At 36.7% G+C, this 12395-nt stretch overlaps 1 protein-coding gene across 17 annotated transcripts in view; it reads right to left on the bottom strand.

Moving 5' to 3' along the window:
- Window positions 1-12395, bottom strand: part of RPS6KA3 (ribosomal protein S6 kinase A3) — a 117187-nt gene that overhangs the window by 57298 nt on the left and 47494 nt on the right. For 14 of the 17 annotated variants that reach the window (XM_011545561.3, XM_017029719.3, XM_047442335.1 and 11 more), the window contains one exon: window positions 2080-2196. In XM_011545561.3, coding sequence (XP_011543863.1) covers window positions 2080-2196 — 117 coding nt within the window. Of the gene's footprint in view, window positions 1-2079; window positions 2197-11591; window positions 11740-12395 lie in introns of those variants that run through there. The other 3 variants (XM_005274577.4, XM_017029718.3, XM_011545562.3) reach the window with 1 other exon arrangement.

Raw genomic sequence — 12395 nt, forward strand, 5'->3', positions numbered from 1 at the left:
TCTTTACTGAATCTACAGTACTTGGTGACAGATAAGACTGGCCAGGTCAGAGTGGGATAGGGGAGGTAGGGACTAGAAATATACATCAAGAACGCTTCCCAAGTTTCTAAATTGCTTAATGAGAGAAAAATGAAATAGAACAGTTTGAGGCTTAGGGAAAGATCATGAGTTTGGTCTCAGACATGTTGACTTTAAAGTGCTTTTAAGACATAGAAAAAGAGTAAGCAGCTGTGCATAAGAATTCAGAGCTTGGAGAAGCAATCTAGATTGGAGATATAAATGTGTTATGTCAGCTGTATGTGAGTTACAATTAAGATAGCAGGCACAGAGAAAATCAATTAGGAGAGTATTAGTAACAGAGAAGAAGGCAGCCTAGAATCGAACCTTGAAGAACTTCAATATTTAATGACTGGCTAGAGGAAGGAAATGGGGATCCAAGAGGTTAAGTAACTTGCTCAAGCACACACAGTGAATAAATAGAAGAAAAAAAATTGAATTGAAGTCCGGCTGACCTAGAGCCCAAACTTACAACCATTACGCTCTGATGGCTACTTACTCTTTATTTGGATTAAAAGCATCCTTTTGGGTTCAAAAGAGGTTAACAACTGTAACAAATTACCTATGTTAGCCAAGAATTGCTAAATACCCCCACTAAAATACACAAGAGAGCTAAACTGGTGCTGTTCTGAAACTTGCAAAGCATGATATATTCAAATATTTCCTTACAGAGAAGTGGTAAGGAATCACTGCATCGTCAAAGTTGAATACAATCTCCAAATTTTCCTCTTGCCAAGAAACAATCTAGACCAGTGATCCCCAACCTTTTTTAGCACCAGGGACTGGTTTCATGAAGATAGTTTTTTCACAGACTGGCGCGGTGGGAGGGGGAGATGATTTTGGGATGAAACTGTTCCACCTCAGATCATCAGGCATTGGATTCTCATAAGGAGTGCACAACCTAGATCCCTCCCATGTGCAGTTCACATCAGGGTTCGTGCTCCTATGAGAATTGAATGCTGCCACTGATCTGACAGGAGGTGGTGCTCAAACGGCAATGCTCACCCGGGGGTTGGGGACCCCTGGTCTAAACAGATCAAGCAGTAGTAATTATGATGCTGTACTTCTCAAAATGGAGTACAGAAGTGCCCCTGAGGTGTGCAGTGTGTATGTATGTGGTGGGAGACAAGCGCTACATGAAAAACACTGATAAAGATGTTGCATCTTCGGCCGGGCGTGGTTGCTCACGCCTGTAATCCCAGCATTTTGGGAGGCCGAGGCAAGTGGATCGCTTTGAGCTCAAGAGTTTGAGACCAGCCTGAGAAACATGGCGAAACCCCATCTCTACAAAAAAAACACAAAAATTAGCTGGGCGTGGTGGTGTGTGCCTTGGTCCCAGCTACTCAGGAGGCTGAGGCTGGAGAATTGCTTGAACCTGGGAGGCAGAGGTTGTAGTGAGCCGAGATCATGCCACTGTACTCCAGCCTGGGTGACAGAGGAGGCAGACCCTGCCTTCTGGAGGAATTTTCCTTGGTGGCTTTGGGAAACATTTTTTGATATTAAAAACAAACACGATGTTACTGGATAAAATGCAAACTTTGCATTCATTTTAAAGACAAGCCAGGAGTCAAGAAAACTTCAAAATTGTAGCGGTAGCCCCCAACCCTACTTCTTTGGGAGCGTCACTCACTTTATGCTGGTATTAGAGTACGCTGGAAGGGAGGCTGAGATGCGCTGTATTGCAAGATCACCTTCCAACCCTACCCAAGGACTCAAAAAGAGGCCAGTGTATCAAGGGAATATCTTGTGATTTTTAACAATTTAAGAATCACAACTGGAGAGGTCATGTGCTCTTGAAGATAAAGTAGGAAGCAAATAGTACCAATTTACTGAAGTCTCCAACGTACTTTTGAACAACTTTATTCACTTTCCCACTTACTGATAGTGAGAAATGTAAAAAAACAGAAAACATTGCTGGTAGGAAGACTGGTAGCATTTCATAAAATATTTGTTTCCTCATGTATATGAAATACATATGAATTGAAAAGACAACTCTTAAAAAAGCACACACTCATGACTTACCTTTCCAAATGATCCCTGCCCTAATACTTTTAAAAGTTCAAACTGGGAAGGATCTGCCTTTTCATGTCCTTCCTTTACATGATGTGTGATTGCAATTTCTTTGATACTGACTTCTTCCTGTTGAGATAAACGTAAGAGGAGCAAACAGGGTTAGCCAGAGCTATTTTCTCCCGCTAAAAATCAAACAATATTAATTTAATCTTACTAGAAATTAATTAGAAATCAATCTAATTTCTAAACATATTAGAAATCCCAAATTAACATACAAAAACCACCTTTTACCAACCCATCAAGTGAATATGCCACACACATATACTTTCAGGTTAAATGTCAGAGACAGTTATTATACCAGCCTACTACATAGGCCAATTTAACCTCTACATGACATTTAGTACTAAGTATTTCCAAGTCTTCATTCTCTCTACTGGAGATAATTAGAATAGTTTTATTGGGTGGGGGCAGAGGGTGTAAAGAAGTCTGAAAATAACAGATTGGAATAATCTGCTGTGCTCTGGTGTATGGTTATGCTACGCAGAACTAATGCTATTTAAAAAAAGTGTTTATTGAGGAGAGGGGTTGAAAAATATTCCAGGGTAAACATGGAGATTTCTAACCTCAATGTGGCTGTTTAAGTACACTGAAGTTTTATTCCTTTGAAATGTCTAAGTTACTTTCTGTTTCTAGAATAATCTGGGATCTGAGAGGGGAGAAAGGAGTAACTCTAAAACACAAAAGGAGAAAAGATTTAACATTTGGATGGATAATCAGACATGGAAAAAAATGACTATTCAGCATGATGGAACAGTGAGAAGTATCTGGGTTAAGAGAAGGATTTTAAAAGACAGTGAACATTTTAATATATTTGAGGAAAAGTGTCAGAACAAAGAGAAAATGTATGAAATACACACAGGATTTCAATTACTTATGTGAGATCAGCAGATTAGGTTATCTTATTTAATCAAGACACATACGGTATGTTATAGTCAAAAATTACAACAAAACAAAACCTGACAAAATTAGAAACATAAGCCTGTCAAATAAAGACTAGCATTTCTATTTTGTTGACTATAATGTTATTTTTTTCTAGGTGCGTAAGTACTGTTAGTAGAATCTCAATGTGTTATGTAAACATAACTAATCCATTGTTTTTGTTATTATCATATCCCATACAAACATTTGCATTCAATTAACATTTTCTGAGATGTCCTTAGAATGCTGGCAATATAAGGAATTACAAAGATTTCTCAAAAGGACATACCAGAATACCCTAACATGGTAGCTTTTGAAAATGAGTAGTAAAAGGAAAAAAGCTCCCAGAAGAGGAGAAAAAGGAATCCAGGCCCACTACTTTATTTTGAAGACAGAGGCTGTAATTTGTAGGTTATCCTACTACTTAGGCAGTTCAATCATATTGGACTCCCCTGGGACTTCGGAAACAATAATCAAATCATTTCCTAACATCAGTTTAGCTCTTTATTTCACAATTTCCCATGCATTATCTCCTTTAATTCTCACAACGATCCTGTGCAGTAGGTATTAGCGTAGAACCAAGCATTAGCTGACTCTTAAAACGCTACCTCTTTCCTCTAAATAAGACCAAGGTACAAGGGTTTCAGACACCCTTTTCTCCAAATGAGACCAAGGGCTTCAGAGTGATAGCTGTTAGTAGCCATTAGTACAACAGGAAAGGCAGGAAGCAAATTACCAAATTTAAAAAAAAAAAAAAAACCTTTCAAAGAACAAAGTATATGTGGGATTAAGATTTAGATAGAAATCCAGGAAATACTATTATTGAGCACCTACTACATATCAACCCTGTGTTAGGTGTTTTTTCATGTTTTATATTCATGCTTCACAACAAATCTGACCACGTATTTAATGTTAGAGAGGGCTGATACAACATAAACGAGTAAACCTTAGAACAAGCATAAACATTTCAGAGTTTTCTATGTACTCTCCCATTTACCACTAGAAATTTGACACATACTCTAAAAACAAACTGGTCTGAATATTCTATAGTCTGAAATTTAAAGAGATTAATTGAAGGCTTAAGATCACAAGCCAGTAAGTGGTAGACTTAGGGCTCAATTCTAGGTCTCCTGACTTTGAAAACAAGGCCCTTACCATTACACCACACTGAGATCAATGACAGGAAACCTATAGGCTTATGACCCTGGTCTTTGTAACCGGTCTGTTAGCTCAGTTGATTAGAGCAGTGTTCTTTGAACTTTTTGGTAGCACATCCTTAGCAGGAAAAAAAAACAAAAAAAAAAAACCAAAACAACAAACAAAACAAAACAAAACAAAACCTACACACACAATATTTGTATCCTTAAAATTATATACACGTAAAGAAGTTCTCTTCTTTTCTTTTTCTATACCCCAAAGTGCTGTCACGTCACACTCTGAAGACTAACCAAGTTAATGGGCTGGATTCCAGCATGTGTCAGTTAGCCTCGTATTAAAAAACAAAAAAAACCAAACCAAAACAACAACAACAACAACAAAACAAAAAAACTATCTGTTCAAGAGCCTAATTGGAATCTAGCAGCCATTTATGCCTTTAAATCATGAGGTCATGAAGAACTCTATTTTGTAATGTTATATATTTTTTACATTTTTCTTTTTTAGGTAAGTGGGATGTGATTTATCAGGTTACAGTATTTTTTCACCTTATATTTCATAGCAAATCCTACAAAAACTGATGGTCACAAATAAAGATGCAACACAAGCAGGGAAGAATAATCACTGAATTATAAACACATTCCATTTTGTAGCAGGCATACAGGATCAACCCTTACCCTTAAATAGTGTGAGCTACAATCAGGCCATGAATTTCAAAATAAACAACAATTACTACTCTCATCTTTGATGACTACCCTTCCTTTCATCTCATGTCAAATAAGTTACTAAAAAAATGCAGAGTCTGGCTGGACACGGTGGCTCATGCCTGTAATCCCAGCACTTTGGGAGGCTGAGGTGGGTGGATCACTTGAGGTCAGGAGTTCGAGACCAGCCTGGCCAACAGGGTGAAATGCTGTCTCTAGTAAAAATACAAAAATTAGCTGGGCGTGGTGGTGGGTGCCTGTAATCCCAGCTACTTGGGAGGTTGAGGCAGGAGAATCACTTGAACCCAGGAGGCAGAGGTTGCAGTGAGCCAAGATCACGCCACTGCACTCCAGCCTCCTGGGTGATGAGAGAGAGACACCATCTCAAAACAACAACAACAACAACAAAAAGTAGAGTCTAGCCTGGGCAATATAGTGAGACTTTGTCTCTACCAAAAAAATTTACAAAATTAGCCAGGTGTGGTGGTTGGTGCGAGCCTGTAGTCCCAGCTACTCAGGAAGCTGAGATGTGAGGATCGCTTGAGCCCAGGAGGTCGAGGCTACAGTGAGCCATGATCATGCCACTGTACTCCAGCCTGGGCAGCAGAGCAAGACCCTGTCTCAAAAGAAAAAAAAAAGTAGTGTCTCCCTTTGGTCCCTTCAGTATAACAACCACATACCGAAACACTTACTATGTATCAAGCACAGTGTTGAGAACACTTTTCATTCTTTCTTTTTCTATTTCCAGTGGTATCATCAAGGTATAAGCCTTCATTACCTTTCAGCTAGAAAACTGAAACTAGATTGGTTACTCATAATATCCCTTTCTGCCTGCGTCCACTCCAATTCATCTTTTTGACAAATTCATTTTCTGAAATTATACAGCTCCAGTCATATGACCAGGCTGTTAAAAAACTCCAAGTTTTCTCAAATTAAATGCACTGCTTCACCTTGGCATTCGAGGTCCTCTACAATATGGCCTCAACCTACTTTTGTGATATTATCTCCCAACATTCTCTTACACATAGCCTTTTGTCAACCCAGGTTATTTCTTATTCCCTAAACTTTTTGTTTTTAAAATCAAAGTAATACATGCACATTGGTAATAAACAGTGGCAGAATAGCTTATGGTGAAAAGCAAGTCTCTTCTCACCCTCACGCCTAGACTTGAAAAAAAATTAGTTCTGCATCTACTTTGATAATTTCTTAATTTATTAACCTTAAGACAATGTCTACTGACTTAAGAAAGGTGAGGGACTTACTTACATTATGCCCCTTCACTTCATCATCTTCCTCTCTATTGTTTGGTAATTATATTACCTTTACATACACTTCTTATCTTTTCTCTGCTTTGGACAGAATCCTAACTCTTCCCTTTGCAAAAGGAGGCTAATAGTGCCCATATATTCTTCCTCTTAAACTTCTTCCCATTTGCTGCTAGCTGTATGTAATTTTATTAATATTAAAGCTATTAATTTTAAGAAAATTAACATTTCCTGAGTTAATGGGCGCAGCACACCAACATGGCACATGTATACATATGTAACAAACCTGCACATTGTGCACACGTACCCTGAAACTTAAAGTATAATAATAGAATAAAATAAAATAAAATAAAGAAAAAAAAAAGAAAATTAACATTTCCTCCTGCAGCCACAACCAAATCCTTCATGCTCTCTCTATAGCCTGATTCTAAAGTTGAAAGCCTATAGACAACAGCATCCACATTATCATGACAATATATGGTTCAAATGAAGGCTAGGTAATATACTAAATTTCCTTTTATATGGGCCCATAACAACGACTCCCAGGCCAATCTGAGGGGACTTAAAAAAAAAACAAAACTTCATTAAATGTTTAAATTCATGATAAATTTTACTTTGATTCCCATTTGGATCATGAATTTATCATGCACTTTTCTATTTTTTCCTATTTTTAACAGCCTTCCACCATTCTTGGGGAAAGGGAAAAGTAATTTGACCACTATTCTTAATGTTTTCTTAGCCCTTAGCAATATTTTCCTTTCTTCTGAGAGCTCCTTTCTATCCTGGAGACCTCTCTTACCCTCCCATCGGGATTGGTGGTTCTGTAGGCCCGCTGCACAGCTATCATCTTGGGATAGGTCTTCAGTGATTTTCTGGTTGAATTCACTGTTTTCAGTTTTCTATGTCTCTTTCTTAGATTACCCCCTTGTAACTTCCAAAGAAAGGTGATGTGGAAGAAAACTTTCTGAACCTCACACATCTGTAAATGTTGTTATTTTGTCTTCCCATTTGTATAGTTTGGCTTAGTACCAAATTCCAGAAGAAAAATAATCTTGGCTCAGAACTTTGACACCATAGATCCATTGCCTTCTAGCATCCAGTTCTGCTGATGAGATGGGTGATGCTAGTCTAGTCACACTTTTTGGTAGGTCTGGTTTTTCCTTCTGGAAGCTTTAAAGATTTTCTCTGTCCTTGTGTTTCTGAAATTCCCCAATAGTGAGATAAATAGGGTCTTCTTTCCTTCAGAATGCCAGATGCTTGGTGAACCTTTATAATCTAAAGACCTGAATTCTTTAACTTTGTGGGGAATTCTAACATATCTTTGATAATTTCCTTCCACCCATTTTTCAGGGCTTCTCTTTTTGTGACTCTTCTACTAGTTGAATATTGTACGTCTGAAATGGAATCCTTTATGTCATTTTTTTCTCCTATTTTCTGTTTCCACTTTTTTTTCTTTTTTTCTTTTTTTTTTTTTTTGAGACAGGGTCTCACTCTGTCACCCACGCTGGAGTGCAATGGTGCGATCTCAGCTCACTGCAGCCTCAACCTCCTGGGCTCCAGTGATCCTCCCACCTCAGCCTCCCCAGTAGCTGGAACTACGGGCATGTGCCACAACACCTGGCTAATTTTTTGATTTGTTTGTAGAGACAGGGTCTCAACATGTTGCCCGCCTGCCTTGGCCTCCCAAAGTGCTGGGATTACGGGAATGAGCCATCATGTCCAGCACTGTCTCTACTTTCTAAGAGACTTTCTTGACTTTATCTTCCCACTTTCATACTAAATTTTTTATCCTGGCAAATCTTAAAGTACATTTTCAAGTGTTCCTTTTCTTAGTGTGTGTGTGTGTGTGTGTATGTGTGTTTTAAAAAGCATCTTCCTCCACTCCCTACTCTCTTCCCCCCAAAACAGATGCAATCATTTCAAACCTCTTTAGGGATACAAACAGGGATTTATAAAATATTTTTCTAAATCAGGACTCAGAGAGTACGGAAAATACTCTTGAGGGTAGAGAGAAAAGATCAATTCCTGTGGCAAGTTTGGCATTGGCTCAAGTTTCAAAAACCTGCCACTGTTTTATCCTGAACACGCTTTTCTGTTCCTTCTAAGTTTAAATTTCATAAGACTTAAATTTTTACTAATCACACCAGCAAACTATTTTCTATCTACTTTATATATATGGAAAATTACAGTAGTATAATAGGCAAAATATCCTGGGTTGAGATCTCAATGCCCAGATTGTACTTAATGTCACCAGGTCATGGGACCATGACTATTTTAGAAATGAATCTAAGGTTCAACCAGGACATAATACTAATGCTTGGGCAATCTTGGACAACAGGTAGGAAAGCAACAATGTACTTTTCTAGCTCATACTTGGAATCTAATGAGATGGATGCAGAAAGGAATATCAGATTTCCAAGGGCAGTGATAAGCCAAGAACAGACTGACATGTGCATGTGACAAACATATCTTATGTCACTAAATCACCTGTTACTGAAATAAATCTGTCACATGAAAACATAAAATTATAGTTTGACTTGACATTTTGTAAAACTGTATTTTTGCCTATAAGTACATGGTAAAGCAGCTATATTAATAGTTTTATGGAAAAATATTATGTTAATAAACTGGAACACAGATATAAATTATATACATTCTAATTATTCTGTGAGGCTCACATATTTTTACATTCTCTGGCACAACTGTTTTTTAAATGATAAATGGATATCTGTCCATTCATTACCACAAAAAACTTACTTTGTGCATTTAAAAACAGTAATAATAAATTCCATGCTATTATTTTTACAAAGACTGTTGATTTGATAAGCAAAAGTCTGACTGTGGGCAAAATTTTCAGGATGGCAGCAGATCTACATCACGTCTTCTTTCATTCTTCCTACATTTCCACCCCTTTCAGACATTTGCCACCTCCCTCAGCCTAGGTGTTCAATACCCTTAAGCTATGTACGGGAATTCACTAATTCATTCATCCATCCATTTAAACATTTATTTTTGAGTACCTGATACATGCTAGGTACTCTTCTAGGCGCTGGGATATACAATAAGTCAAATGGACCAAAAACTTTGCCGTTTTGACAACAGACCAAATAATAATAATAGGTAAATAAAGGTTAGAACATGATAAATACTATGAAGAAAAGATATTGAGTTGAGTAAAGAGATGAGAATAGCAGATATGGAAAGGGGGGGGTTGTAATTTTCAATAAAGAAGTCAGGGCAGGCTTTATTAAGAAGATGCTATTTGAGAAAGACCTGAGGGAGGTGAGAAAGTCAAGCACCTGGGGGAAAAGCATTCCTGGGAGAGGGACAAGCCAGTACAAAGGCCACAGCAGGAGCACACCTGGACACTAGAGTTTAAATCAGAGAGTATGAAAGAGAGGTAGAGAAGAATGAGGTCAAGAGAGAACTAAAATTCAGGCGGCTCTCCTGCTTTTGCTTTTTCCTGAATGCCTGGTCCCAGTGAAAATGTTTCTGATCTATGACATACTCTGTTAGGACCATTCCTTTTTGTTGGAAGGCCATTCAAATTATGGGCCAGGTATTGTACTAGGTGTTAGAGATACTAAGACAATTTACCTGGATCTCAAAGATTTATTATTAGATAAATATCTGTTGAGATATGACCCCTGATGGATAAAACAAAGTCAGTTCAGTTGAAACATATACTTTTACAATTCTGTAAAGAGTGTCATTTTGGACATCATGGAAAAATGAAGAGAAAATTTATGGGCAGGTGGATCTTTTGGTGTCCCTCAGTCACACAAAAAGCCACCCAGTTTATTTCCCAGGACCAACAAAACGTCCTTAGGTTTATACCTCAATGGTCTTTAAGGTCCACTCTTTAGTGGGGAAAAAATAATCTAATGTTTCCTTTTCAAGTTGTGAGAGAAAAATATCATTTTGATCTTAAAATGTAAAAAGGATTAAAGAAAAGAAACTGAAATTAATATTGTCTATTTGAATTATCGAAAACCTAATATTGTAACATGCTAACTAAGAAAACAAACTGAGAGATATTAACTGATTTCAAAGAATGATTCAACATTTGGCATTATGCCCTGCCTTGTATACATAATTTCCTTTTTCCTCCCCTCCCCTGAGTCAGGAAGTGTGTTCTTGAGGCATTTGTATTTTCTAAATTGTTTTGAATGCCAGAAAATATTACTGAAGCTTGAAGTAAAATATTTAAATGTTCCTTGGTAAAAGTCAATAAGTACTTTCTAACTATGGATGTGTAACCATTTTTTGTTGTACCATAAAAAAGACCTTACAAATGAAAAATGCATACTTTATTTGCCCCTTAAATGTCATTCTAAATTAAACTATCACCCTTTATATAGATACCTATAGTTCTATAACATGTAGTTTTATTTTAAAAAGATATGTTAACCTCTTTGTAGATGATCAAGATACATAAAAATTATTTTGCTGTGACACAAAATTAGGCTGGTTATTCAAGCCATGGTGTGAAACTATGTATTAATATATTCTAGATTACAATCTGACTGAATTCAATTTACTTCATTTGCTGATGGAATGATAAATAAGCTCAACATTTTTCATTTAACCAAATTCTTTAAGAGAGCTTTAAGCTCTTATAAGTCAGCTCCTTTTATCTATGTTTGAGAAAACAGCAAGCTGGTTCTCCAGATTAACATTTCTAATCACCGCCACAAAGAGCAGAGTTTTCTCCCAATCTGGAATCCCGATCAGCAAATTTAATTCTCTTTAAAGAGCTGCTGGATAGCACAATTCTCATGGCAAAATATCAAGTTGATTTTGGCAGGATTGTAGATTAAATATATTGCAAATTAACATCCACTAAGCCCATTTTAACAGAATAATTCTTTGAAAATTGTTCCTACTCTAAGTCAGATAAAATTACTTGCTTAAAGTTACTTAAATATGGAGTTGCTTAAAAACTTCCAAGTTTTTACAGGAACCAATTTCCACCAAAATGTGATTTTAAGTTATTGACTGCTTAAAATAACATACTCTCCTACCCACTAAAGTTGTTTTCATTATAGTAATCTCCTAAATATTAGCAATTTTGCAATTCTGTTTATGCCTGGTTTAATTTTGAGAGTTACAGTCATTTGTTTTACTATACAAAATTACAAACACTAGCAAGATAAAAATTACTCTAGCACTAAAAAAAACAAAAACAAAAAAACAACGTAAAAGTCAGTTGACAAAATATACAGAGTTGAAATGTATAATACACATAACTGGCTTTTAGTAAACAGAGCTATTATCCTTTAAAAGTTCTATCAAAACAGGTTTTGAATTTTGAAAAGCTGCTTTAAAGAACATATAAAACGAAATAACTAATTACTGTAATTATAGTTAGCTCCAACTAAAACATTTTATTCTATAAAAGAAGCTGAACAGAGCTTACCTGTATAGAGCGAACACGAAAAGACAAAAATTTAAACATGGCTACGAAACCATGATGGTGATAAAAGAATTTCTGACGGTAAAACTTAAGTTAGAAAGGGAAGGCCAAGCCCCTGCAAAGTTTTCTCCTACCAGCTGTTCCGGCAATTAGAAAATTTCCTGTCAGGCGGGTCCTGAAAATGCTAGAAAAAGAGGCCGGACAATTTTCCTGTGGTAAAAGAAAGAAGAAACCTGCCGGCAGGGGCACTAATGTAGCTGGATAGGTAGGGAGGCCAGAATAGGAAACCAAAACAGATTTGCTGATAGCCAAATCCTGTTGAAATATTCTTTTCTCCTAGTTCCCAGCAATCCGGACAATTTTCACAACCAGTGAAACAAACGTTATTATTTTAGAATCCTGAGAAATGCCAGAATTTCTTAACTATATGACCCTTTAAAACAACTGAAACTAGTTGCCACTACTAAAAGTTGCTAAACTGATGCACAAGTGGAATTTGACCCTTTGCAGTGTGTTTATACACACACTCAAGCCGTGGTCTCAAGATAATTTTAAGGTTATACACAGGCATGTCATGGGTGTTCCCTGTCAATGAGGAAGAGTTTCATAACTATAGGTAGAAAATGAAGACCACAGGCAAGAAACTTTTAAAATTGTGATGTAAGGACAAATGCTACCTGTCTTAAATGAAAGTAAATTACTTTTGAATTTATGTTAGTCATAAGCATTAATTATCAACCAGGTTAAAGACTTAAAGGCCCATAGTTAAAAACTCACATTCCTAGTTGATAAAATATAAGTTAAAAA

This window comes from Homo sapiens, chromosome X (assembly GCF_000001405.40).
Source record: "Homo sapiens chromosome X, GRCh38.p14 Primary Assembly".
NCBI lineage: Eukaryota > Metazoa > Chordata > Mammalia > Primates > Hominidae > Homo > Homo sapiens.